At 52.1% G+C, this 24,991-nt stretch overlaps 1 protein-coding gene across 24 annotated transcripts, besides 13 other annotated features; it reads right to left on the reverse strand.

Moving 5' to 3' along the window:
* Positions 1-1,827: 1,827 nt before the first annotated feature.
* BMF (Bcl2 modifying factor) lies at positions 1,828-22,817 on the reverse strand. 24 transcript variants are annotated; one of them, NR_174116.1, is made up of 7 exons: positions 22,711-22,817; positions 22,197-22,324; positions 20,296-20,376; positions 19,733-20,029; positions 18,118-18,278; positions 7,541-7,813; positions 1,828-5,826 (listed from the first exon to the last, which is right to left on the reverse strand). NR_174116.1 is itself a non-coding variant. In NM_001398497.1 (6 exons), exons 4-6 carry the CDS (start codon positions 20,022-20,024, stop codon positions 5,725-5,727), a joined length of 555 nt encoding a protein of 184 aa, NP_001385426.1. In that variant the 5' UTR covers positions 20,025-20,029; positions 20,296-20,376; positions 22,197-22,295; positions 22,711-22,817; the 3' UTR covers positions 1,828-5,724. The 24 variants fall into 24 exon arrangements, 20 of the variants coding, with proteins under 20 accessions (NP_001385426.1, NP_001385431.1, NP_001385427.1 ...); NR_174114.1 differs by having other exon boundaries at positions 20,243-20,376; NR_174115.1 differs by lacking the exon at positions 20,296-20,376 and having other exon boundaries at positions 22,197-22,295.
* Positions 5,297-7,875: an enhancer, noted in NCBI's record as "VISTA enhancer hs1611". NCBI's record gives its function as "enhancer in: hindbrain (rhombencephalon)[6/8] | somite[6/8] | midbrain (mesencephalon)[6/8] | forebrain[6/8]" and the evidence as "EXISTENCE:transgenic organism evidence [ECO:0001131][PMID:17130149]".
* Positions 10,641-10,690: an enhancer, noted in NCBI's record as "active region_9231". NCBI's record gives its function as "activates an Ori minimal core promoter by ATAC-STARR-seq in GM12878 lymphoblastoid cells {active_cell/tissue: GM12878}" and the evidence as "EXISTENCE:reporter gene assay evidence [ECO:0000049][PMID:35858748]".
* Positions 11,364-11,877: an enhancer, noted in NCBI's record as "H3K4me1 hESC enhancer chr15:40389627-40390140 (GRCh37/hg19 assembly coordinates)". NCBI's record gives its function as "activates a minimal SCP1, AML or CMV promoter by ChIP-STARR-seq in primed H9 embryonic stem cells {active_cell/tissue: H9 hESC(primed)}" and the evidence as "EXISTENCE:reporter gene assay evidence [ECO:0000049][PMID:30033119]".
* Positions 12,074-12,123: a silencer, noted in NCBI's record as "silent region_6317". NCBI's record gives its function as "represses an Ori minimal core promoter by ATAC-STARR-seq in GM12878 lymphoblastoid cells {active_cell/tissue: GM12878}" and the evidence as "EXISTENCE:reporter gene assay evidence [ECO:0000049][PMID:35858748]".
* Positions 12,524-13,093: an enhancer, noted in NCBI's record as "active region_9232". NCBI's record gives its function as "activates an Ori minimal core promoter by ATAC-STARR-seq in GM12878 lymphoblastoid cells {active_cell/tissue: GM12878}" and the evidence as "EXISTENCE:reporter gene assay evidence [ECO:0000049][PMID:35858748]".
* Positions 17,175-17,739: an enhancer, noted in NCBI's record as "H3K4me1 hESC enhancer chr15:40395438-40396002 (GRCh37/hg19 assembly coordinates)". NCBI's record gives its function as "activates a minimal SCP1, AML or CMV promoter by ChIP-STARR-seq in naive H9 embryonic stem cells {active_cell/tissue: H9 hESC(naive)}" and the evidence as "EXISTENCE:reporter gene assay evidence [ECO:0000049][PMID:30033119]".
* Positions 17,740-18,305: an enhancer, noted in NCBI's record as "H3K4me1 hESC enhancer chr15:40396003-40396568 (GRCh37/hg19 assembly coordinates)". NCBI's record gives its function as "activates a minimal SCP1, AML or CMV promoter by ChIP-STARR-seq in naive H9 embryonic stem cells {active_cell/tissue: H9 hESC(naive)}" and the evidence as "EXISTENCE:reporter gene assay evidence [ECO:0000049][PMID:30033119]".
* Positions 18,838-19,030: a silencer, noted in NCBI's record as "fragment chr15:40397101-40397293 (GRCh37/hg19 assembly coordinates)". NCBI's record gives its function as "represses an EF-1alpha promoter that drives an FKBP-Casp9 reporter gene in an ReSE screen in K562 erythroleukemia cells {active_cell/tissue: K562}" and the evidence as "EXISTENCE:reporter gene assay evidence [ECO:0000049][PMID:32094911]".
* Positions 19,530-19,579: an enhancer, noted in NCBI's record as "active region_9233". NCBI's record gives its function as "activates an Ori minimal core promoter by ATAC-STARR-seq in GM12878 lymphoblastoid cells {active_cell/tissue: GM12878}" and the evidence as "EXISTENCE:reporter gene assay evidence [ECO:0000049][PMID:35858748]".
* Positions 19,800-19,849: an enhancer, noted in NCBI's record as "active region_9234". NCBI's record gives its function as "activates an Ori minimal core promoter by ATAC-STARR-seq in GM12878 lymphoblastoid cells {active_cell/tissue: GM12878}" and the evidence as "EXISTENCE:reporter gene assay evidence [ECO:0000049][PMID:35858748]".
* Positions 20,846-21,140: a silencer, noted in NCBI's record as "tiled region #12469; HepG2 Repressive non-DNase unmatched - State 1:Tss, and K562 Repressive DNase matched - State 5:Enh". NCBI's record gives its function as "represses a minimal TATA promoter and a strong SV40 promoter by Sharpr-MPRA in HepG2 and K562 cells {active_cell/tissue: HepG2 | K562}" and the evidence as "EXISTENCE:reporter gene assay evidence [ECO:0000049][PMID:27701403]".
* Positions 21,420-22,115: an enhancer, noted in NCBI's record as "H3K4me1 hESC enhancer chr15:40399683-40400378 (GRCh37/hg19 assembly coordinates)". NCBI's record gives its function as "activates a minimal SCP1, AML or CMV promoter by ChIP-STARR-seq in naive H9 embryonic stem cells {active_cell/tissue: H9 hESC(naive)}" and the evidence as "EXISTENCE:reporter gene assay evidence [ECO:0000049][PMID:30033119]".
* Positions 22,625-22,874: a silencer, noted in NCBI's record as "silent region_6318". NCBI's record gives its function as "represses an Ori minimal core promoter by ATAC-STARR-seq in GM12878 lymphoblastoid cells {active_cell/tissue: GM12878}" and the evidence as "EXISTENCE:reporter gene assay evidence [ECO:0000049][PMID:35858748]".

A 24,991-nucleotide genomic window follows, 5' to 3' on the forward strand; every position in this document is an offset into this window, starting at 1 on the left:
GGGGTAATTTGTTTTGCAGAATACAAGTACAGAATACTAATACAAAGGAGATATCTGGAGAGGCAGGCTAAGGATCCGGTAGGGCAAGTTTTCCAGTGGGGGCGATGGGATTGTGTCTGCCATTTAGGAAGTTTCCCTGGCAGCACAGAAGACCATGCTGTGGAAGGGGCAAGGCTGATGAGAGAACAGTTAAGATGCTCCACAGTTGTTCAGGCAAAAGGACTTACATTAAGACGGTGCAGCAGAGACAGAAGGAAGATAGGCTGCAAGAGACATTTCCAAGTAAGAATGGCCAGAGCTTATTGACCAACTGCCCACAAATAATAATATCATTAATATTAATAGCTAACATAAATTGAAAACTTAATATGTACCAAGCATTCTTCTAAGCACCTTACACATATTTACACATTTAATTCTCACAATAACTTTATGGGTAGGCACTACTATCTCATTTTATAGGTGAGGAAACTGAGGCACAGAAAGATTATGTGGCCTCCCAATGCCACATAGCTGGTGAGCGGCACAGTCTGGGTTCAAACTTGGACAGCTGTGCCTTTAATGTCTCTGTTCTTCCTCTGGAGGGATCAGACAGAGAGAAAGGAGGGAACAAGGGGAACGAAGGTGAGCGCTCAGATTTCTAGCCTGGGCAACGGAGTGCAGCCTTACCCAAGGTAGGCCTCGATGACGTGAAAGACATCACTATCACCAGTCACCTACTAATCCCCTGTGAACCTCATAGGAACTGCTTAATGGACTCAACTACAACCCAGCAAGTGAAATGTAGAATAACATCCGGACATGGCACCAGGCCCCACTTATACCACGCTCCAGTAAAAATAAACCTCCCTGTCCAAATATAGAGTGGTTGGAAGTGCCATACTTTACAGAAGAAGAGGCAGTTATTTGGCATTAAAAATAGATAAGTTTTGGCTTACTTGAAGACCTGGGCATGAGCAGTGCGATTCCCAAATGGAAACAGATGGATGGGGTGAGCCCCCCCTCAAGACTGACTCAGCTATTTAAAGAGACCAAATAGAAAATTATATCCCCTTTCTGGGCCTCAGTTTACTCACCCATAAGACAGAGAGGTTGGACAAAAGATCCAATGTCATGCCAAGCTCCAACCCTCTATGAGGGTTGGAACTGGAGGCCAAGGCTAGATCTGAGAGCTGACAACCTCCTAAATCAAGGACAGCCCAACAGATGCAGGGCGGGTTGGCCCCTCAGTTCATAACTTACTGCTGATAGGATCAGGAGTAGTTTTTCCCAAGGATTTTCAGAACTCTGTCAAGAGCTTTAAATCACCGCTTTGAATCAGACACATTGTTAATCCACAAAGAAATGCAAGCCAGGAAGTCCCCCTACAACTAGCTTGCCTCCTGAGGGGCTACCCTGATAGAAAGGAGGGGTGGGGTAGTGTGTGCGGGAGGGGCTGCCGGGGTCCTTTCCCTCACTGGGTCCCAGTGGCAGACAGGCCCTTTTGACACATTCCCTTTAATCCTGCAAGGCCGGCACAGTCGTATTTCACACGTGGAAGAACTGAAGGCTCAGAGAGGTGACATAACTTGCCCAAGATCATTCAGCTGGAGGAGGAGGGAACCGGGTCCAAAACCTGCATCTTTCCCCCTCACAGGGCCTCTGCTGTGCTGCCTATCGCGTGGTGGTCGGAATCACTCTTCTCAACTCCAAGAGGGGAAAGGAAATCACGGCGAAAGCTGAGCGCCTTCAGGTCACTCAAGCTGGCAGCTGAGAAAGCTAGAAGGCTTTAATTTCCTAACTGATCTCCTTGCATTTTTACCACACCTTGAAAAATAAAAGACCAGATTTGCTTTAAATGATTTTATTAAAAATTGTACCAATTGATGGGGGGAAAGATATACACACATACACACATATGCATGTGAAGAACATAAACACATAAAGCCAAAGGCTCTGTACAGTTTTTTAAAAAATGGGGCCCCTTTCTTCTTCCTCTCTCCCAGAGGCAGAGTGCCCAGACCCCAGGGCAGCTACCCTGGGGATGAACAAAATGCTACATTCTCACTGGGTCTCCTCGATAGCCCCTGTGGATCCAGGGATGGGGTAGAAGGCTAGCAATGCTCCCAGAGCAGGGAGGGGCACTGGCCACCTGCACAGAGAGAGGGGGCAGTGGGGCTCTGAGCACCTTTAGCTGGGAGGCTGGCTGGGCACCTATGAGCTCAGCTTTTTCCGCTATCCCCTCAAGACTCAAAAGTCCCCACCAGCCCTCAGGCTGCCTAAGGGTGACAGGTGAGCCCCTTCCTGCTAGGGTGTCTGGCCAGGATGGCCTGCTTCCAAGAGTCCTCACCTTCACACACAGAGCTGTTTCCAGCCCAGGCCAGCACTGATTTGCAGAAGGCCTGCAGAGCCATGGTGACCAAAGTCTTCCCGCTTCTGCCACGTCCCTTCTGCCTACCCCACCTCCCCATCAAGTCCCTCAAAAAGAAGTGCTCACTGGGGTAGCATGCTCCTTGCTGTCCAGGACAGTCACCGTGGCTCCACAGCACTCTTCCTGGGAGGCCCTGGCTGAACCATCCCGAATAACCCCCAGGCAGGGGCCACCTGCCGATGGGGCTGGGCTGCCAGGAGCAGTGAGACAGGTCAGCTGGGCCCCTCTGGGTCCTTCAAACAAGCCTGCCACATAGCTTTGGACACAGACCTACTCCCCTGGGGGCTGAGGGAGGTCACTGGGAGGTGATCTTTTTCCACCTCGGATTGAGCAAGAGAAGGCTGCCAGTGGCCCAGACTTTGAAACAGGCCAGGCAGAGGCCAGGCTGAGTCCTCCACCCTCATTGCAGGAGTCCAGCGTCTGGCCTGGGGACTTCCCTCACCAGATCTGTTGACCAACTTCTAGAAACCCCTGCTTTGGGGTTGTGAATTAGAAGGGCTGTTTTGACCCTGAATATCAGGCTTCCCTTCCTCCCAGGCATTTCTTTCCCGAGGAGGAAGGTTTCCAGTCCCTCTCCCAACCCCCACCCTCAGCAAGCCACAAAGCCTCCACCGTCTTCAGCTGGTTACAGGTCAGGATCCAGGTCAGACTCTCCCTCCCTCTAAATCTGATTCTCCACCCCTCGCTAGAGACAGCCAGGCTCCTGGGGGTGGGGGATGGAGTCTGAGGGGGTGGAGGTCGGGGGGGAGGGGCAGGTCTCCTGAGGCTAGACTTGAGGAATGTTTAGGCCAACTCACCAGGCAGAGGAGGAAGGGGCCAGTTTAGATCACTAAGCCAATTAAAAACAACCAGCCAGAAAGAACCTTTCTCCTTCCTGACAGCTACTCTGCCAGCTACCTCCTGGGTTTTGTTGGTGGGGAAGAAGGGAGAGGGAAACGTGAGGGGTGTAAATTTTGCCCTGGCTCACTTAAGACAGTGAGTGAGTTCCTGGCTTTGCATAAGATGGAGACAGTGCAGTCAGACCACCTTCCACCTGCCCCAGGCTTGATGTTGAGGTGGGTTTGTCAAAGTCTGGGCTCAGTTCTCAGGCCACAGGGCACCCAGCCTGGGCCTGGCAAGGTCTCTGAAGCTGATGGCCTTGCCCCAGCACCAAGATCTAAATCATTTTCTCTCTCACTGAACTCAGGTGGAGAGTCTGCCAAAAGGGGTGAATAGTGGCTGCTGTAAATAATCCCGGTTTTTTGGTGTGTGCCACTGAAGCATACGGCAGCAGGCTGCCTGTCACCACCTTGATCCAGAGAGGGGAGAACAACGTATGTCCCATACACATCATAAAATGGTATGGAGACCCACAGGGAAGGCTGAATTTCACAATGGTCAGTGTGTCCCAGAGCCAGTCTTCAAGCTGGTCCCCGGCTCCTTCTCTGCAAAGCAGGAACCCGTCTTCTTAGCAGACAAATCATGGTACACACCCTGAGAATAGAATTCTGACCAAGAAGAGGTAATATCCAGAATATCTGAGCAGAACAAAACAAAGGCTTACATGCACAGTTTGAGGCCCTTCTCCTCCAGGGTGCTGTGAGCCCATATGGCACCTTTGCAAATTAGGAAAGGCACCCCTTCTTCTTGGGAGAAGTAGCCCCACACCAGGGCACGCACACAGCTTAGTGAGCAGAACACAAGCTGAATTCCAGCCTCCATTAGCTGCAGGTGCCCTTGTGCAGTGAACAACCTGCACAACTGTACATCCAGAAGATCAATGTCTCCTTCAATAGTACTGAAGACCTCCTCTCCTCAGAACTGGAAGACTTGGGCTTGTTCAGATTTGTGAGTCTACTCTAGACTCCTCCTATTTCCTTGGGTAGCCCTGAGGTCTTCTTTGTCCAGGGAAGCCGTCTTTCCTTTGGGCCTTACTTCACTGTTAGCACCAATGTTGTCTTTTCTCACATATGCAAAAGTTATAATTTAGTTTCTAGCGTCTGGTTAACAGATTCCCTGTGCCTGCTATCGGAGCTGCCACACCGGCTGCTTTAGATCCTCTCCATAAGTGCCGCAGCAGGGAGAGAAGGGAAGACGTGCACAGGCAGCTGTGATCCTGCTGGGTTCCAGAGCATGCCCTTCTGGCCTAGCTGGAAGCTGGAGGAAGATAGGAAATGTGTACCCAGCTTTGACGGTTCCCCACTCTAATCGTTATCTGTTACTCTAAAAGTCACTTAGCTGGCAAAGCCACTGTCCTGGCTTCTTCTGTATCCCACTAGGTATGAAAAAGGACTGGGGATAAGGGGGAAGAGGTATGTTGTTTCCAAGGAAACCAAGGGGTCTGGGGTCCCCTACGGCTGACTCTCATGGTAGGGTGGCCACCATATTTTCCGGCCCCACTGCAAACTTGCCCCCGATGTCCCTCAGTGCCGATGTTGGGGGTGGAATGCGGTCTGTCGGTGGGGTCTTTTGAAAGAAGAGCTGACAAAGGCACAGGCTGCCAGCAGCAACATGCTGACTGGCTATTCGGCTCATCCGTGGCTGACACCCAGCTGGTCCCAGGCCGCCAGTGGTGGCAGTGGCTCTGTACCTCAGGACCAATCCTGGGGCCTCCAAGTGGGACCAAGTCAGTTTTGAGGCCTAGCCAGAAGTTTGGTTCATTTTGCGACATGTTTGAGGGGTCCTTAGAGAAACTCAACCCTCCCTGAGGTCTGCTGGAGGTGGCAGGAGCTGGCCAGGAATCCTTGAGCCCATGGGGCAGGTACTGGCTGAGAAGTAAGAACCCAGTCAGATGTGGAGCTGGCCGGCCAGCCTAGTGAAGCTGCTATCCTCAAGTGGAAAGCCCCTGGCCGAAGCCCTGCTGGGTTAAAGCAATGTGACCATCAGGATCACGGCCCCCATCCACAGTGGAAGGCTCATAGGTTTGGTGGAACTGGGAGTCTAATCCACTCTCGATTTCTTAACTGAGTTCCTCTGGAAAAACCACAGTCCACTTCCCAGAGAACATCACTAACGGATCATCTTCGACAACTGGTAGATTCCTCAGTCGAAGAATCTACTTGTCAGAGCCCTTGGGAATTCTCACCATCACAGACACATCAGCCTCTCCTTCAACAGTGTTTGACAAAGGCCCCCATTCCAGGTCAAGGGCCTGACAGAGAAAGAAGGTCCCGCTTGAGTATGTTGTATGTACACTCAGAGAGAAATTAAAAAAAATTAAAACACAAAATAACAACAAAAAAACAATTTCACAAGACACAGTGTCAGTCCTGCCCGATGTCCTTCCTGTTCCAGACGGTGTTCCTGGTGCCCCATGTGAAGAGGGCAGCCCACCCTCACCTAGGGCCTGCCCCGTTCCTGTTCTCTTCTCCATTCAAAGCAAGGTTGTGCAGGAAGAGGAGGATCTGCCACCACACACGATTTTGGTTCTGCTGGTGCTGAAGGGAGAAAAAAAAAAAAGACCAACATAACTCCCAAACGCAATCTTAGACGACTCCCTCTCATTTCCAGTAAAAGTTCAGATCTCCAAGTCTCACGGCTGGCACTTTAATCCTATCAGTACAGCTCACAGCGGGGAGGAGGGGGAGGTGAAAGAGACACTGCCATGTGGAGGAGAGAGTTGAGTTCTCCAAAAACAATTGCAGTTTTAACATTAAAAAGAAAAGACTAGGCTCTATATGCACTATGCACAAGAGGATTAAGCTTTTTCCCCTGCTTGCAGGATTTTCCAGAGTTTAGCCAAGTGCTGCTTTTAATCAGATTGGCTCCCGAGCCCCTCAAACCTCAGCTGCATGAACAACAAACTGGCTTCAGAAAGAGAAGAAGTGCCCCCCTCTCTCCCCCGACTCCAAAGTAACACAGAGAACAAGGGGAAAGGGGGGGCCTCCATCTGCAAGTGATTTGACACTGTGAAGGTCAAAGGGTTAATCTTCAATTTAAACCACACTGCTGAGGCAGCAAAAATCTGATTTCATCCAGTGCAAACACGCACACACACAGACTCACACACACACACACACACACACCCTTGTGCGCCCGCCCGCTCTCCCTCCCCAGCATCTCCAGCTCGGTGCTGCCCTTTTTATAGATGCTCTTGACAGTAAGCCATAAATAATCCCTCTTGGAGCGCTCTCCTACTGACTGGAGCCAATTAAACATTAAGCAAGAACATACTTGAAAACAAAACAAAAACAAAGAATATATACTATGCTCTGGAGGTTATCCCAGGTCCTACTGTCAGGCTGGGAAGCTAGGGGCAAAGTTCAGGGGTCAGTGGCTCACCAGATTGGGGCTGGTGCCCTGCCCACACAGGTACCATTTCCCAGGAGAGGCCTGGGGGGGTGGAAACTGGGGGGTGCTGGAAGAGGCGGTCTTTGTTCTCTCTTTGTCTGCCAGGGCAGGAGGACTGGGCGGGGGCCTCTCCACAGGGTTCTCACTGGACAGGGGAATAAAAACCTAGTGTGCAGAAAGGAGCCAGCACGGGCTGGACTTGGATTACTTCAGTGGCCCCGTCAGCAAGCAAGTTTACATGAGGTGTCCAAGCCTTCTCTTAAACTGTCTTTAACCACAGCACCAGCCCCCACCAGGCAACTACTCCTGGTCAGATGGGAAGAGGAGAGAGGAAGCCAGCGGCACAGCTGGAAAGGGGGCCCAGGTTGCCTGGACTCCCAGAGCTTCCAGGTTCTGTCCAGCCCTGGCCTCCCTGACCTTTCCCAGGGCCACCATGCAGGTTGCTGGCTTCCCCTTCACGCTGCCCTAGGCCACAAAAAGAGAGGCATCCAGGCAGCTGGCCTCAGGGCCTGACAACCCAGGTGAACACGGAATGCCCCCGTCCATCATGGCAACAGCATTCCTCCTTCCCCCGTGGAAGAGCCTGGAAAACAACCCGGCAAGCTGGAGGCGCAGCTCCTGCCCGGAGGGGAAGGGAAATCGGGCGTGCCACAGAAGAGGCCTGGCAGACAGAGGGTGGGGAGATGGATGGCTTCCTCGTGTTTTGTAAACAAAGATGAGTAAAAAGAGGAAACACACCCGGCTTAACAAAATCTGGTTAGAGTAAAACAGCGTGAAAATGGACTCAGCTGCAAACCCGAAGCCTCCGGCCTGCAGCAGCTGGGCCAAAGACCCCCTCTCCTCCCCTCCCCAGCTGCTGACCGAGACAGGTGCAGAGGTCATGTGGCCGAACAAGAGGAGAATCCAGGAGCAGACTCATCCCTGGAGAGGCCAGTCTGCTGGAATTCCAGTTCTCCTGAGGTGCTTGTCTGAGAAGACCGGTGGCAAGAACAATCATCACCTCATAATAGTAACGTGGGGTTAGGGTGGCAGTCGGGGGTGGGGAGGTGCCAGGCTCTGTTCTGTGTGTTCTGCATCCTTGCTTCTCAAAGGGTGGTCCATGGACTAGCAGCCTCAGCATCATCAGAGAGCTGCCTGGAAATGCAGACCCAGCATCAGAAGATTCCCCAGGTGATTTTGAGGCACATTATCATGCCCATTACTTAGCGACCACATAGCTAGTTTAAGTGGCAGGGACTGGACTGAACCTAGACCATCTGGCCCTAGAGCTATGTCCCTTCCCATTATCTCTGTGCTCAGAGTGCCACTACCTTTCTTTATACCAAAGCAGACCCTCTAGCCTCCCCTTTACTAAATCATCTCAAAACAGCTCAATGGCCAAGGAAAGCAGATGAGAATTCTATGATTTGGGGCTGAGGCAATTCTCATCTCTGTATGCCTCAGTTTTCTCCCAAATTCCACTAATGGAGGCCACCTACTCCCTGGGCAACTTGAGATCTCTGAAGATGAGGCACAGACTCCCATCATCTGGGAGCGTTGGGGGACTCAGAAGCAGCTGTGGGCCAGAGAGTGCTTTCAGACAGGAAGGCTGAGGTCTTGCAGGGGACCCAGGCAGGCCTAGGTGCAGGAGGCAGGATACATGGGCCGGCCCTTGGGAAGGAACTAGTTTCCATGCCTCTGCGTGTGACAGTCCTTAAGGCTCATGAATTGGTAAGGAAGGCTCTATGGTGCATGGATCCCCAGGGACCAGGAATCAGAGGACCTGGCTTTCGGGTTGGATCTCCCATCAACCTGCTCATGAGTTCTCTCTTGGCTTATAAGGAAAATGCAGGTATTGTACTAGATCAATGGTTTCTAAACCCAACTGTGTCACTAAGCCAGCTGAGGTGCTCTTGTAAGTATAGAGTCTCCAGGCCTCTCCCAGACCCACTGGGTCAGAATTTCAAGGAAGGGTCCCAGGAATCTGTATACTGAACAAGCTCCCTTGGTGACATTTTAGAGATCAGAAATCATTTATTGTATATTTTAATCATAAAAGCAATACATGTTAATTGTAGAAATATTGGAAAATACAAGACATTACAGAGGAGGAAATAAAGTCACTCATGATCCTCCAGGCTAGAAAACACTTCACGTGTTGGTGTTTTCTTCAGTCCCTTTCGATCTCTTTCCACCAAAGTAATGTCTTACCCCACTGGCCAAGCCAGAGGTCAATCCTGCCCAGGTGGTTCTGTGGCAGCCAGGCCACAGCCTTTTGGAAACCACAAAGGTGCTCTCCAACCCTAAGGAGTTTGTCATCCACGACTACCTTCAGGATTACAACTCAGAGCTCCAACAACTGAATTCTGTCAGCTGAGTGTAGGGCCTGGGAACCACCCATGGGCCCATGAGCCCTCTCTGGCTACAAGCAGATACCACACAGGCTCCCTTTGGCCTTCTCCCGCCTCAGGGCAGCCCTCACAAGACCCTTTTCCATGAGGAAACCAAGATAATCAAAGAATGCCCTGATTACAAAATACAACAATAAATAAAATTTTTCCTAAAAGTTTAACAAAAGGGCCTGACTAGAAAGGAAAGAAAAAAGACTTGAAGGGAGGCCAGTGGGAGAAACAGTGAGGAGGAAGGAAGTTGGCCTTCACTGAACAGGATGAAGAACACAAAGATACCAAAACACCAGAGAACGTGGGATCTTCCACAAGAGGGTGTGGAGGAGAAGGGGAAGAGAGGGGAACCAGGAATGAGTGTACTTGGCCTCTGACCCTCAGGCACCCGGCACAGCACCCAGCGCACAATCTGAGATCAACAAGGGCAGATCCCCAGAACCAGGCCTGCCCTCCTAGACTCAGCTAGGGAACCCCTCACAGAATGGGAGTTCCCAGAATACACAGTCAGGGTGACCCAAGGGTCGGGGCTGGGATACAGAGGAGGGGAAGCTCACCCTAGAGCCCTCGGACTCACATGGTTTAGAAGGCAGGGCCAAGGAATGGAGGGAATGAATAGAGGTGAATGCCCCCAGGGAAGGTGCCCTAACATGGTAGATCACGGTGTTCTCTTCAATGAAGAGAGCACAAGCAGGCATCAGAGCCCCATGCGGCTTCTTTGGCCCAGCCTCATTTTCTTGCCACGGACAGGGGATGAAGGCAGTCAGCTGACAAATGTTTCAATCCCTACTGTGTGCAACACCCTATGCCTGAATGCACAGCTGCTCATCCTGTGTAATGGGGAACATGGAAGGCATACAGTAGGCACTCAACAAGGGCATGCTGGACCGACTACAGAGGAGTCAGCCCTGAAAGATAACCCACTTGTCTGAGGCCAGGAACAACTGATGTCTGGCCAGGTCTAAAGATGTACTTTATGTGATAGTATCAGCCTCACACCTGGGGAGAGGCCCAACTAGTAAAAGGCCTCCTTTTTTTTTTTTTTTTTTTTTTTTCTCTAAAGAGCTGGCTGTGGTGTCTGACAAGGTTGGATTACATAAATCAAACTCTGTTTCATCCCACACAGCCTCTGCCCTAAGCACAAAGCGTGTTCCCTACGCTCCCTGGATAAGAATCTCCCTCTGCCTCTCCCCTTTTCAGATCCAATTCATACCCTCTGGGGGCTCTGTGTGTCACCAGTGTTCCAGATGCTCCAGCTAGAGCTAATTCACCCCAAAGTATCAGAGGAAGAAGCAAAGCGAAGCCGTGTGCAGCTCTAAAAGAACCTAACTCACAAAATGCAAATTTACCAAACAGAGAGCAACTTATAATATCTCAGATACAGAACAGAGCACTTTCCTTTCTTCTCATGTGATCCTCACGATAGGAAGAGCAGGTATTAATCAACCCATTTTAGAGCGACGGAAACAATGGCTCAGAAAAGTCATCCCAAGTTAGTTGGGAGGGGTGTAATTTGAGGCCCTGACTTCTGACTCCAAAGCTATGTTCCTTCACTAAAATTTTACAGTGTGTTTATTGACATTATGAAAATAGCATTACCTTTTTCAAAGCAAATCACCACTGATCTGCTCCCCTAGTATGCTTAAAGACATTGTTTCCAGATCATTAACTATTTAGTAAGGACGCTGTGGACCAGAAAAAAATAACCCTTTCAGAGGCAGAGCTAACTGAAGATCAAACAGAAATAAAGCTAAAACTGGTCTGAAATTATAACTTCAGACTGTGATCTGAAACCACACTCAATCTCTTCAAAATGCAGAATTGTCTATACTCTAGGGGAAGGTGCACAGTCCACGATGTGAAGTTTTCCTCCCTCTTCCCTTTTCCCTGTCATTCTCTAAACCTACTCAGGCCAAGGCTGAAAGAAAGAGCCTTGCAATTAAGAACAGGAACATTGAGAGCAGGAAAATTCCTGCTTGAAGGAAGCTAGGAAGATGTTTTCTGTTGAAATAAGGACATTTTAATGAAGCACCCAACTGAGCTATCAAGCACCCAACTGAGCTACCAAGCACCCAACTGAGCTACCAAGCACCCAACTGAGCTACCAAGCACCTAACTGAGCTACCAAACACCTGAGCTACCAAGCACCCAACTGAGCTACCAAGCACCTAACTGAGCTACCAAGCACCCAACTGAGCTACTAAGCACCCAACTGAGCTAAGAGTTATGTGGATACAAAGATGATTAAAATATTATAAACTTGGTTCTCAATTGTTTTACAATATAATGGGGAGAAGAGCAAGAGCACCTAGCTGAGTATCACATGAGGCAGAGCGGGTTGGGGCAGCAAATGTGTGCTTCCTTGTACCCTTGTTTTCCGGAATGTGATTGCTGGGCAGCAGGTATGGGGCGATTGGACCATGGTTCCAGAATCCATCAAATCTGTATGACGCCTAGCTCAGCAAATTACGGTGTGACTTGGACATGTTACCTCACTTCTCTGAGCCTCAGTTTCCTATAACACAGTGGCAATGGAGTCTAAAAGTCCAAGGTTGCTGTGGTGATTACGTAAGAAAAATATACATGAAGCACTGGGCCTGGGGGCTGCAAGGAGCAGGCTCCTCCTTCCCTGGGGAGCACAAGGAAAACCTGGGACTCACTGGCTTTGCAGAGCACGTCTCTCAATATGCTCTGCAACAGGGCCGGCCTGGGGAGCACCATCTTCCCGGCAGACTCACGAAATCCCTGGGAGATCCCTGACTTTCTGCTTTGAGACTGCCCACAGCAGCCACAGGCCATGGGGCTCAGGATTCTAGGCTGCCAGGGTAAGCCAAGGATTCTGAAACCCAGAGGGCAACCCCTTGGACCCAGTGGGCCCACTGCCTCAGACTGCTTCTGACCCAGAGGCCCGAGGAACGAGCAACGTGGCAAAACGGAAAAGGAAAAAAAAGACTCCTTGCCAAGAGCTTCCTCAGCCCAGCCAGCAGTGTTAACAGGACATTGAAGCCACCATGGCCACGCCCATTGCTTCTCTAAGGAAAAAAGAGCAGTCCGAAGCCAGCCAGCTCTCAGTGGAAGATGGCAAGGCTTCCTCTAACGCAACTGGAAGACACTGGCTCCAGCCACTGGGGGTTGAGGGGTACGGTTCGGGGACAGAGCTGTGCTGCACCATCCATGTCCCCAGACCCTTGTTTTGCACCTCCACAGCCTGGAGGGAGGAACTACTGAGACCCTTACTCAGTTTCCTTCAAGCTGAGAACAGCTCCATCAAACTACTGGGCAACTTCTTCAGAGCTCAGAAGGGCACAATGGTGTGTGCCCTGGTTAAAGAAGGGAGAGGGAGGGGGTTCGGGGGACAAGCCTGTTGTGTGTATTATGCTATGCAAAATAACCCCAGGTTCTGACACTCGACTTGGGGTCTTTTCAGCTGACTGTTCATGTCCTGTCCAGGACCAGGTCAAGGCAAACCAGGCAAGGAGGAAGGATGGAACCCTCCCCTTCACACACGGACTGATTGTGTGCTCTGGTCATGGAACATGACCTCTTGGCTGCCAGACATGGATCAAAAGGCAAACCAGTCATTTTTCTTTAACCTTCTTTCTTTGTGTCTCCCTTAGTCCCCTCCTCCCATCACCCACTTTCCAAAAAAAAAAGCCAATTTCCATCCCATGGCAGGCCTTGGTGGGGAGGGAATGAACTCTCCGGAACTACAAGGCCCTTCTCCTGGAAGAGAGAGCAGTCAGGTGCAGAGTGTGTGGGGAACTCAGCCTCTAGTCTGCCACGCTGATGACTCAGAAGCTAAATATAGCGAGCGATATAAACAGAGCCAGCCACAGAGCAAACACAGGGCCCCCAGCCCCGGCGCTGGCTCTCACGCACTCTGGCTCTCCGCAGTCCCTCCCCCAGCCTCATTCTTCCCCTGGCACTGTCCTAGGTGGGCCTCCCACTCCTGGGACAGAGGCTGGCTTCCTAGGGACCCATCTCACTCTATAGCAAACCTCTGGGGCCCCTGCCCGGGGCTGTCCCATCTAGACGCTGAGCAACCTAGTTAGCCAGCTTAAGTTCCAGAAAACCACTCACTAATAACTAGAGAATCCCAAAGTGTCAGGAAGCAATCAGGGGCTCCCTGAACAAAGGATCCAGTCTGCTAGGCAGAGAAGCTGCTAGTTAATAAACCATGCAAACACCAACTCGGGTACAACTTCCAAAAGAGCTCCCCAAATTACAAAGTCAGGTCCAAGCAAAATCCTAAAGTCATCTTTTAACATATTTCTAAAAGTACTCAACTGTCCCTGACTTAATAGTTATTTGTATCACAACTCCTAAAGGCCCTTCACATCAACTAGGCAAGGTAAGTATTAGAAACCAAGACTAAGCCGGGTGCAGTGGCTCACACCTGTAATCCCAGCACTTTGGGAGGCCGAGATGGGCGGATCGCCTGAGGTCGCGAGTTCAAGACAAGCCTGACCGACATGGAGAAACCCCGTCTCTACTAAAAATACAAAAATTAGCCAGGCATGGTGGTGCATGCCTGTAATTCCAGCTACTCAGGAGGCTGAGGCAGGACAATCACTTGAACCCGGAGGCAGAGGTTGCAGTGAGCCGAGATCGCACCACTGTACTCCAGCTTGGCAAGAAGAACGAAACGCTGTCTCACCAAAAAAAAAAAAAAAAAAAAAAGGCTTGGAGAGATTACATGATTTGCCCACGAACACATAACTTATAAGTGGCAGAGCTGGGATTTTAACAGATCTGCCTACAAGTCTAGGATCCTTTTTGTGATATTACAGCTAAAGATGGTTTCAACTGAGTGGCTGAAAGTTTTCTCAGATTTCATTTGCCAAAAAGTCTAATTACTATTCAGAGATTTCCAAACCCGGCTTTTCTGAATGGAGCCACTCCTGGTCCAAGTGAAAAAGCCATTTCCAACATGAAGAATTCCAACCCTCCTGTAGCTTTACTCACTCGACTGTTTACAGTAACTACTGTTTTTGAGGATTCTTGGCTTCTTAACATTGCCCAGAAATACCCCCAAATGTCATGATGGGCCACTGGGACAGAAGACTCTCCCAAGGGGAGGGGATACCACTTCCTGCCCCTCCTTAGGCTCGTGCTGAATGAGGCCATGGCACAAGGACAGGAAAGCTGGGGCTCAGACCTTCTGGCCAGGGCAGCCCAGGGGCTCAGGGAGGAAGTACATCTGCACCATGCTCTTCCATGCAGAAGCTGGACACAGAAGCACCACAGCACCACCCTCAAGATAAGTCATTATCAGCAGACCATCGGGGGTCCCTGCCACAGTTTGTCAGCTCACAGAGGAGCAAACAGGGGAACCTTCACTCCTGCCCCGGCCAAAGGAAGGTGGGATGTGTGGTGAGGTTCTGAAAGGTTTTTACCTCCACTCACTCTGCCTCCAACTCTCTTGCTGCTTTGGAGACACAAAGAGCTGAGGCGGAGCACCCTGCTAACTCTGATCTTCTGCCTCCGGTTTTTTGCCTGTGGATCTGGAAGAGTCACCCTGAACTGGTAACTCGGGTGACCAGGCTAGTCCTCCACCTAGCAAGGCTCTTGGGAAATGCGCTGAAAGTGCAGATGGCCCACGTAAAACGACACCCAGGGAAACTTGGAACCTGTTGCATCTGGAGCCAGGTCGATACACTCAATTGGGATTTCATGGCATCAGCACGCCCCCTCCCTCTGCTCCATACCTCCAAGGGAGAAGGTCGTTCTGGTGCAAAAAAACGAGTAACTCAGGTCTGTAACCAGGGACAAAAAGGGGGAGTGCACACTCTCCACAGGACTATGGACCAGTGGCCACTGTCTAGCCCCAGGACACTATCCCAGATGTAGGGGAAAGGTGACGGTCAGGCCTCCTCAAGTCCCATCTGCCTCTAGGGTTGCTTTTCTTGGCTCTCTAAATCCAGCCCGCAATGATGGGGAATGACTATCATTCCCTGAAGAGAAATCGATAAGGCCAAGGTCCACAGATGATCAGTCTGGACACTAATTCCTCTGGACCAGGCAGGTGGAGGGAAGTTCAGGGGAGGCAGCTCTGCTCAGGGAGTCCCCTGCCAGGTGGAGTGGGAAATGAATTGTGAACCAACAAGAACAAACGTCGGGGGTGATCAGGATCATAAACAGAAAGAAGGAAACAGGCATTAAAGAACATCTACTGTGTGTCCCAAACTCTCATAGGTATTTTCTCACTTAATTATCACAGTAAAATTCTGTGGTATTAGCACTAATTCATAGAAGAGGAAATAGGCTCAGTGAAGTCAAGTGACTTCCTGAAAACTAGTAGATGGCAGAGCTGGTATTCAAACCTGGGCTTTCTGACTCTGAACCCAAAGCCTAGAAACTAAATCCTAAATAACCTCCTTCCCACTGCCTCAGTTTCTCTGCCTGCAAAAATGAGGGAAGGGAATAGGGAAAGAAGATAAAGGATAAGAATGGAGGAGTGACAACAGTACTTTCTAGATATGAAATCTTAGACTGTAGTTTATATAAGAATCAAGCTTAGAAAATGACTCACTTCTCAAAACCAGCTGCTGAAACGTTCCAGGAGTACCAGTGTTCCACCTGCCTGAAGCCATCACCTTAGCCCTTCCTGCAGGATGAGTTCCTGGTGAAGGTCTATAAGTAGGGTCAGTGGGGAGGAGGGGGTTAAAAGCAAGAAGACTCTGGGGAGAACTGTTTAAGGAGAAGACAAAACCCTGGCTCTTTGTACTGGAAAATTTGGGAAAACCAGCTCTTTGAGCTAGAAAAGGCTCACTGGTCAGCCTCCTACCCTTGTAAGTAAGAAGTAGGTAGATGGCAGGAGGGTAGGGGTACAGGAAACCTGGGAGCCAGTGTGGAGTAAGGTGCAAGGCAGAGGAGACTCTCATGCCTTGCACCTCCACTTTCCTTCTCCCCAGCTTGGGTGGCTCTGGCTAAAAGCACAACACCTTGTCTAAAACTAACCTGTGCATGCAAAGAGGCAGCTCTGAACTGGGAGAAGTGATGCCAACCAGCAAAAAGCAGGGCAAGGCAGGCGCAGTGGCTCACGCCTGTAGTCCCAGCACTTTGGGAGGCCGAGGCAGGTGGATCATCTGAGGTCAGGAGTTCGAGACCAGCCTGGCTGACATGGCGAAACCCCGTCTCCACTAAAAGTACAAAAATTAGCCAGGTGTGGTGGTGCGTGCCTATAATCCCAGCTACTCGGGAGGCTGAGGCAGGAGAATCGCTTGAACTGGGGAGGCAGAGGTTGCAGTGAGCCGAGATCATGCCACTGCACTCCAGCCTGGGCGAAAGAGCCAAAAAAAAAAAAAAAAAAAAAAATCAGGGCCAGACCTTGGGATAAGGGCCTCCTCCTCCTCCTGTTCAGGACCAAGTTAGGAGGGCCCCCAGGACTGTATCCTAGTCCTGTGCCAGGGAGGGCTCCCGGCCTATTCCCAAGCCTATAGAGGCTCACCAGTGGATGGGGGAATATTCTGGGGAATAACTGGTGAAAGAGATCAGATTATTGCAAATGAAGCAAGCTGCCTTCCACGGAGCCCGCTAGATGAGTCTAAAAGAGCCACAGCCACTGTGTCCTCCCATCCTCTCCAGTACCAGGACTGGAAGCTGTGAGCTGGGCTCAGCCGTAGGCCTGTACAACCACGGTGGAGTGAATGGGCAGGAAGGAGGCCAAGAAACTGAAAACAAGAATCAGAGTGAGTCCACACATGGACTGAAGGGGAAACTCGAAGCCAAGTTTCCACCAAATAATCAAAGGAGAGAGTAAGAACTGGAGCTTAGATCTATTATCTAAGCATAGGGCCACCCTCCCTTCCTGATCACTAAGGGACTGGGAGGACTTACCAGGCCCAGACCTGGCCCCAAACTGTCCTTAGAACTCCTTGGCAGAGGGCACTAACCATATGTAACCCGCAATGTCCTGTTCTTAGGAAAGCCAAGGTCAATTCCTCTTCCCCTGGCACTGGTAATGGTTTGACCCTTAAGTCAACCTACCAATAGCTCTCCTCCGACCACCTGAAGCTACCCTTCTAACCTCGGAGTCTGCCCAGTCATGGTCAAGCTATTTATTCCCTTGATTTCCTCGCAGTCAGACACACAAACACACATTCAGAGCCAGCTGGGCTGGGGACACAGTCCCAGAAGTACAGAATGTGTTCGCTTCCAGGTGGCATGCCTGTGCTTCAGCTGTGGCTGTACCAGCACGGATGCAGCCTCAGGCTCCTCTCCCAGCCTTGGCAGCCATCCAGAAAGCCAGCCCGAAGAGGAAGGGTTAAGTGCCTGGGGACCCAGCCCAGACAGCGGCTGCTGGAACAGGGAAGGCAGCCTCCAGGCCATGGCACAGAGGGCTCCTCCAGCACGAGCCTGCCAGCCGCCGCCTTTGTTGATGGACTCTGCCACATGCTCGGCTGACACGTGATGCCCCGCCCTGGCGGGGCTGGTGCCAGGCTGCCGGCCAAGCGCCCGGCTGAGCGCCCGGCTGGCCGCCGGTCTGGGGAGCCTCTCCGAGGTACACTCTCCGGAGTCCCAGACCCTGGTTCCCAGACAGAGACAGTGAGGAGCGGCCTCCCCAGCTGGAAAGTGTCAGGTTTCAACCGGTTCCACCACTTTCCCCAACTCAGGCCCCATCCCTTGGCCTGGTTACCCGTTTCCCACTGTACCTTAGCCAGGCACCCCCCAACTGCCCAGTTTCATTGCAGCACCCGGAAAATCTTCCTCTTAGGTCCGTGAGGGGCAACCCCTCAGCCACGGCCATAAGAAGAGACAGGTTGTCAAGCAGAGCTGCAGAAAGCCATCCTATTCCCAGACTGTAGCCTCTCCCGAGAGGGCTCTTATGGAACATGAATTGAGACTGGGCAGTTAACCAATGTGGAGCTCAGAGATGAGGGCAAGATGCTTAGCCAGTTAGGCCCCTCCTGCCCATGGGAACCGCCATAACCAAAACTCTGGGACAATATCCTTGAGGTCTGGCAGAGACAGAGTTGCTGACAAGAGGAGAGAGGCAGGCCCTGGCCCCCAAGCCCCAGCAGACTCAACCCTCCTCCCCTAAACCCCCGTGCCTACTTGCTGCACATGAAGCCGGTGGAACTGGTCTGCAATGCACTGAAGCTTTCGGGCAATCTGTACCTCTGCTTGATGTTGCCACTGCCCTTCGGGGGGCTGCTCCCCAATGGGCAAGACTGCTGGGAAACTGGCAGGGAGAGGAAGCCGATAGCCAGCATTGCCTGCAAAGATAGAGGATCCACATCTCAGCATTCTCCACAACTGCTCCAACCTCCCTACGCCTGCCTGACCTGGCCAAGATTGGAGGCTGAGGGTAAATCCTCATATGAGAAAGGATAGGAGCCAGCCTGCCTCTATTGGAGCACTCTGCCAAGCTTGGACAGCCTGCTGCCCAAGTGCATAAAAGTTGCAGAACAGAAAGAATGGCCCCAGCCTTCTCTTCGCTTCTCCATTCACTGACAGTGCCATGACAAAGGGCAGGTGGTAACGTGTGCAGGCGAACATGCCAGCCTTCCGTCCTTATTTATCAAGCTACCCTTAACCACAGTTGGTTATTCACGTAGTAGCAGGTTGAAGCTCTTCTCTGGAAAAGCACTGGAGGTAGCTCTCCAGTTTCTGGGTTGAGCAAAGTAAGAGGCAGAGCAAGAAAAAATCAAAAAGTGTCTTCACTTTTTTAGTGCAGTAGAGTAAGGCTGGTCTCCCGAAGCTCCTGGGCAGCAGCACAAAAAGAGGGAGAGAAAACTGAGACGCACAGAGCTGCCAAGTTGCTCTCCGGAGACAGCCCCAGGCAAGACCTCTAGACCAGCGCTCCACACTTACCCAGTGCACGCGTTAGAACCACCGCTAGGGGCGCCAGTCCGCCGGGCTCCTCGCTCCTTTCCCTCTTCCCCGCCTGCCCGCCTTATCCAACTTCTCAGACTCCCGCCAGAACTGCTTTGCCAGAACTGCCCTAAGGGGCAGTTCCCTCTGGGAGTAACTGCAGTGTCTCCTCAATCAGCTCGTCAGACACAGTAAGCCACGCTCCTAGCCTTTACCCTCCCTCCATAAGCTGCAGTGCTAATAGAAGAAAACAGACTGTCTAACCCTGCCCTTTTGCCAGAGGAGGGCATATTTCTCATAAAACAAACTATTTAAGCCCACAAATGAAGGGGTCTTGTCTTAGCCTTGGAAGCATCCCCTCTCCTGGCATTGGGCCCAGGCAGGCCCAACCTCTTTCTCCAGTTCCCCTTTCACACACAGAAAGTCCCATGTGGCAACTGGGGGCCACCTTCTGCCTTTGGGAACCCTCCCTCCCAGAACCGGCTGGGTTTTTCCCTTCATTGTCAACAGCCAGTCACAGATCCCCCAGACTTCTCCAGGGCAACAGGAGCCACTTTATAGTAGGCAAGTCACTGCTAGGACACTAAAGGCCAGGCCACTCAAGGGGCACAAGATGTAAAAGGAGATACCATGGACCCAAGGATCCCTCCAGGAGGGGACAATTTGCCCTTTGGGGGGTCTGAGGCACAGGTGAGGAGCAATAACAAGCCGAGAGGCAGCAGGTGGAAGTCAAGGAATCAACAGCCCCGCTGATCACTTTGGGGGAAGGAAACAGCAAAGGGCAGGTTTGGGGAGGGAAAGTCCCCTCTTTTCCCCCAGTCTCTATGGGAGGAGTCTTGAGGCTGAGAGCACTCACCATAAAAGAGTCGCTGGGGTTCCTCAGTCACCCCACAAGGCAGCATGACACCTTGGCTGGGGGAGGCTGGGCTGAGAGTCTGGGTAGCTTTGTCTTCCTGGCTGGTGGGTCGAAGGCCAGGGCCACAGCAGTGGGTGAGAGGGAAGAGCTGAAGTCGGCTGAGGGGGCAGTCCAGTAGGCTCTGGGCAAACAGGTCAGCAGAGAGCAAGCTCCCGGGTTGGGTCACCGGCTCCCCATCCTCTGGTTGGAACACATCATCCTCCAGCTCCTCCACACACTGAGATGGCTCCATCTCTCCTGTGAGGGGGCAACGCAGGCATCTGGGCTGCTGCCCCACCAGGGCCATACCTGGAAGGACTCCCCTTCCCTTCTTCCTACCATACTCCCCCTTCTTATTTGAGCTGGCCGGACCACATACTGATGACATACAACCCTGGTAATAAAGCACTGCTAAGGGTGACATTCACTCCCCAAATGTGGACTGCCTGAATGTTCAGGGGCTCTCCACACCTCTTCCCTGGGCCCGCCTGGAACCACCCTTTTTCTTGATCACGTTTTCTGACCTAGGCCGGTCACAAAGTTTGACTCTGAGGGTTGTGAGCAATAGCAGGAGTAGAATCAGCAGCTATATGCATGCAGGGTACCTGGGAAAATATAAACAAGACTAGCCTCTGTAAGTTGCTGTCAAGGGTGCTGTGACTGGCTATACATACAGTGCTCACAACACACACACACACACACACACACACACACACACATACAGAGTCATTGTCCCAAGGAAATTCTTATCTCAGTCTGAGCTGAGCTCCAGGCTCAGCAGCAAAAACAAAAGCCAGCAATCCTAGGACAGCCAGGTTCCCTCCAAACCTCTAAGCCCCGCCCTGCTGCCCATCTACTCTAATCTCCACCCCTTGCTTGCACAACACAACAAACAGGCTCTGCAGTGTGGTAAGAATGTGTCCTGGGAGAGGGGATAAAGACCCAAGCTAGTCATTGCAGCTGCCGTCTCGGCTCTCTTTGAGCAGAGTTGAGCTGTCTGCCCACCAAAGTTTGGCCTAGAGGGTAGGTCCAGCCTCTCCCAACTAAGTCTCCTCACTAGTCTCCACGACTTCAAATCCCTGATTCCACAGCCTCCCGCTCCTGCCAGCTCTGAACCTGAGACTGGTACAACTGGTCTTACAGAAGGAAGTGAAATTCAGCCCTCTCCCTGTGACCTCACTCACTGCCTATACTGCTGAAGTTATTGATATGAGTTTCTTGGTGATAAAGAAGTTCCTCTTGCTCCACCTGATGGCTCTTGAAAGTCTGAGCTTGGAGCTACTCAGCATCTTAAGCTTCCAACCCAGCTCCCTACACATACCAGGAACTGCTTAGGGCCCCTGCAGCAGCCAGAAGCAGCAACCACCTGAACAGCTAAGGATAAAAAGAGATGAATTTCATTCTTGTCAGACTCAATTAGAGATTCCTGGGGGTTCTGTCCCCTAGTCTCTTGCCTTTGAAGAACAAGCCAAATGGTCTATGGATTGGTGAAGTAGCTAAAAGAATCTCAGTTCAATTCAGAATGCTGCCTTTGCCAAACACAAGCTGTGAGCTGCTTGCTTGGGCCCTGCCTTCGTCCCATCCCATCCCTGTCCCTGAGCTGTCTATGGTCCTGTCTGTGCCCTCTTCCCTGGAGAATGAGGAGATGCCTGCTAGGATGGCAAGCAGCCACGTGGTGTTCTTTGGACCGTGTTTCCCAAGTGTGTGTGTGTGTGTGTGTGTGTGTGTGTGTGTGTGTGTGTATGGGGAGGGGGGTGAGGTGGTGCACTCCAGCTTATTAACAACAGGAAACAAAATTTCCTGATGAAAGGACCAAGTGCTGTCCCGCCAGTCACCTGGCAGGGGCTCCCCTCCAGCTCTCCAACCTCCTCTTCTCAGGCTAGCAATCTTGACCTAAGAAGGGGCCCTCAAAGCCAATCACCAGCACGAGTCATTGTCTTGGTTTTTCCTTTGAAGCCTATCACCTTCCCCTCCCCCTCCCAGCAAAGCCCCAAAGTTCAACCTTTGCCTGGACTGGACAGTGGGGGAGGTGCAGCCAGAAGGTGTGGCTCTGCAAGCCCCAGGGACCCCTCTCACGCTCCACAAACTGTAGGTGGCTTGCCTGTAGGTGGGCGCCTCTGGAGGGGTGCTGGCCAAGGTCAAGGGTAAACTAAGAGAGGGTGAAATTTTTCTCCTGAGCTTAAGAGGTGATGTCCAGAGCGGTGGGAGGAGGAGGGCACTTCCTGAGAACAGGGCCAGGGAATGCTTTATTCCTAGCAAAGGAACTCAAGCCCCGCTGCAGCCATCCCAACCCCTAAGGGCTGGAAGAGGGATGCTGAACTTAGACTCCTCCTCCTCTTAGGAGAAGGCAGTAGTCAGACACCCAGATCCTCGACAGTGACTAGGAACACACACACACACACACACACACACACACACCCCAGACCTGGGTGACTCCAGGAGAGAGTCTCGGCCTCCGAGTCGTGATGCCAGGGCTCCGCGCCAGGGTCCAGCGTGACGAGCACTCGGGGGCTGGACGCCCAGACTCGATTGGGAAGGAGGGAAAAAGCCCAGCTGTTAAGGAGAGGAGCCTTCAGACTCCGCAGAGAGGCAGGATGCCCCACAGCTCCTGTCCTATCCCAAAGTCAGACCCAGAGGCTGGGCCGTTCTCGGGCGCCCAGGTCTGCTCAGCAGTGCACCCCAGGTTCCCCTGCCTACCTGGACCCAACTCCTTCGAGTCCCAAATGCTACCCCCAAGTTCCCTCTTGGAGCAGCGCACCCAACTGTGGGTTCTGCACCCCGTTCCCTCACCCCAGCGCCCCAGTTCTTCATGGTCACCCCAGACGTCCGCAGCCCAAACCCTTCCCGGGCCCCCGTGCGCAGCGCGACTCCGCTCCCCACTTCCCCAAGGAGCTGCGATCCAACTCCGCCCGGCCCCCGGCGGCCACCCGGGCGCTCACCGGGCTGCGGCAGGAGGCGGGAGGCGCAGGCAGGGGCGGCGGCGGCGGCGGGCACAGGCCGGGGCGGGAGGAGGCCACTCCGCACGGTGCGGTATTGTTTCCAAAATACGCCTGCTCGGGGCATCCCGCAAACAGCTGATGAGGCCCCGCCCCCCTGCGCGTCACGCCGAGGACTGACCAATGGCGAGTGAAGCGCCAAGTCCCGGGCTGGGCCGCTGCCAGGGACGGTCACGAATGTACGAACCTTCCCATGGAAACATTGCAAGGGGCCGAGCAAAATTCCGACCGTCGCCAGAAGCGCAGTCGGAGCGCCGTCGCCAGTGCGGATTCTGTCCCTAACACAGGCTCTGGAAGCGCCAGAGAGTCCCTGAATCCTCTGTATTAGGTGTGGGAGAGGGGGCGCCAAAGTAACTTTTGTCTTCTTTTTCACGGCAATGGGCAGAATAATTGCTGCGCGTCCACAAAGGGAGGGGGGAAGGAGGCGGGGAGTTTTTTTATGAGGCTGGTGCGTCCAGTGGGTGCAGGGTGCAGGGTGCGGGTCCCTATGGGATCCCAGCCTCAGGGGAAAGCTCCCTCCCGCCTGCCGAGCAGGTCGGAAGAAAACTGCAGCTCCAAAGCTGAAGGTGTGTTTGAAACAAACACATCCAGGGGAGCCCTTAGGTCCTCTTCTTGACTGGGCGTGGGCACTGGCAAAATAAGCACCTGGCTGAGAAGCGGAGCGCTCAAGAAGGCCGGGGCTGCTTGAGCGGTTGACACATATCTCGCATATGGCAGCATTTAGAGACTGTGCTGGTGCTGCCAGGAGAGCAGCATGTCCTGCAGACCGCGTAAGGGAGTCTATGGGCTACTTCACAGGCATTTACCGAGCACCTACTCTGTGCCAGATATTGGGCTGAGTGCCAGAAACCTGGCGTCTGCCCTCAAGGAGCTTACAGTCTACTAGGAGAGGTAGCCCTGAAAATAGTGAAAAGTTATTGGAATTGTATTCATTCCAAGGATAATGACTATTGAGGAATGCAGAAAAATTCAGAATACAAAGGCTGGAGAAGGCCTCAGGGAGACAGCTTTTAAATTGAATGGGAAATATTTTTCAATAAGGAAAACCAGATGCACATGTCTCACGCCTGTAATCCCAACACTTTGGGAGGCCGAGGCGGGTGGTTCACTTGAGCTCAGTGGTTGGAGACCAGCCTGGCCAACACGGGAAACCCTGTCTCTACTAAAAATACAAAAATCAGGCGGGCGTGGTGGCGCATGCCTGTAATCCCAGCTACTTGGGAGGCTGAGGTAGGAGAATTGCTTGAACCTAGGAGGTGAAGGTTGCAGTGGGCGGAGATAGCGCCACCGCACTCCAGCCTGGGCGACAATGAGACTCCGTCTCAAAAAAATAAAAATAAAATAAAATAAAAAAGAATAGCCCAGGCCTAAGGGTAGCAGACTGAAGTGCTGAGCTGGAGAGCTTACCTGTGCAGGGAGCAGAGGGAGGCTTGGTGACTGGATCATTGGGTGCACACTGAGATTTACGAACGGTAGGCATGGGCAGGTGGGTTCAGGTCAGACTACAGAGGTGTCCCTGGAATGCCAGACTGAAGAATCTGTATTTTATAAAGGGGAGGCAGCAAAGATTTTATTGGAGATGAGTGACTTGACCAAGCCTGAGTTTTAGGAAAGATAAAATGATGAGTCCAGAGAGCAGTGAGAGGGAGCCAGTCCTGCAACAACCCTGACCCACCAGGGGCAGTAGGGCTCAGCAGTGCTCTGACCACCGAGCTGCTCTCTGGGTTGTAAACTTAGATTTAAGTTCAGTGGAGCTGGGACCTTCAGCCCAATAGAGCCTGAAGTCTCCTTGTACCTTTTTCCCATCATTCTTTCCTTTGCTCCCTCAGAAGTCACCTGAAACAGAATGAACCAGCCATATTGAGGGCTGTGGTTGCTAGAATAGAAAAATACTGTCTCCAAAGGACAAAGAGGGAAAAGGGAAAGAGTGGGGAGTCAAGGTTAGCCAGTAGCACAGTCCCCCGAAATTGATAGATTTCCAGCAAAAGGCACTAAGCCAAAAGGAGGTATATTATTTTACCCAGAGGCTTGGCCAAAAGTGCATGTCTGAGCTGGTCAGAGTGACCTTGCACTCCTGCTACATGTAGGGAGATACAGAAACCAAACCTAGCCTCTGTGAAGGGCACCGGCAGCCCTCCGTGATTTCCAATGCACCGACTCCCTTCCGCTCCTTCCTTCCATCCTTCTCTTCTCATTTGCTTTCCTATCAGACCAGTGTCTCAGG

The sequence above is a fragment of the Homo sapiens genome, chromosome 15 (genome assembly GCF_000001405.40).
Source record: "Homo sapiens chromosome 15, GRCh38.p14 Primary Assembly".
Lineage (NCBI taxonomy): Eukaryota > Metazoa > Chordata > Mammalia > Primates > Hominidae > Homo > Homo sapiens.

What these genes read in the sequence shown, in the direction of transcription:
- BMF (NM_001398499.1), bottom strand. Translation starts at nt 20,024, where the DNA reads ATGGAGCCATCTCAGTGTGTGGAGGAGCTGGAGGATGATGTGTTCCAA. An exon ending in ACCCCAGCGACTCTTTTATG is followed by an intron (nt 18,279 to 19,732) that starts GTGAGTGCTCTC and finishes CTATCTTTGCAG; the next exon opens with GCAATGCTGGCTATCGGCTT. An exon ending in ACCGGCTTCATGTGCAGCAA is followed by an intron (nt 5,827 to 18,117) that starts GTAGGCACGGGG and finishes TTCTCCCTTCAG; the next exon opens with CACCAGCAGAACCAAAATCG.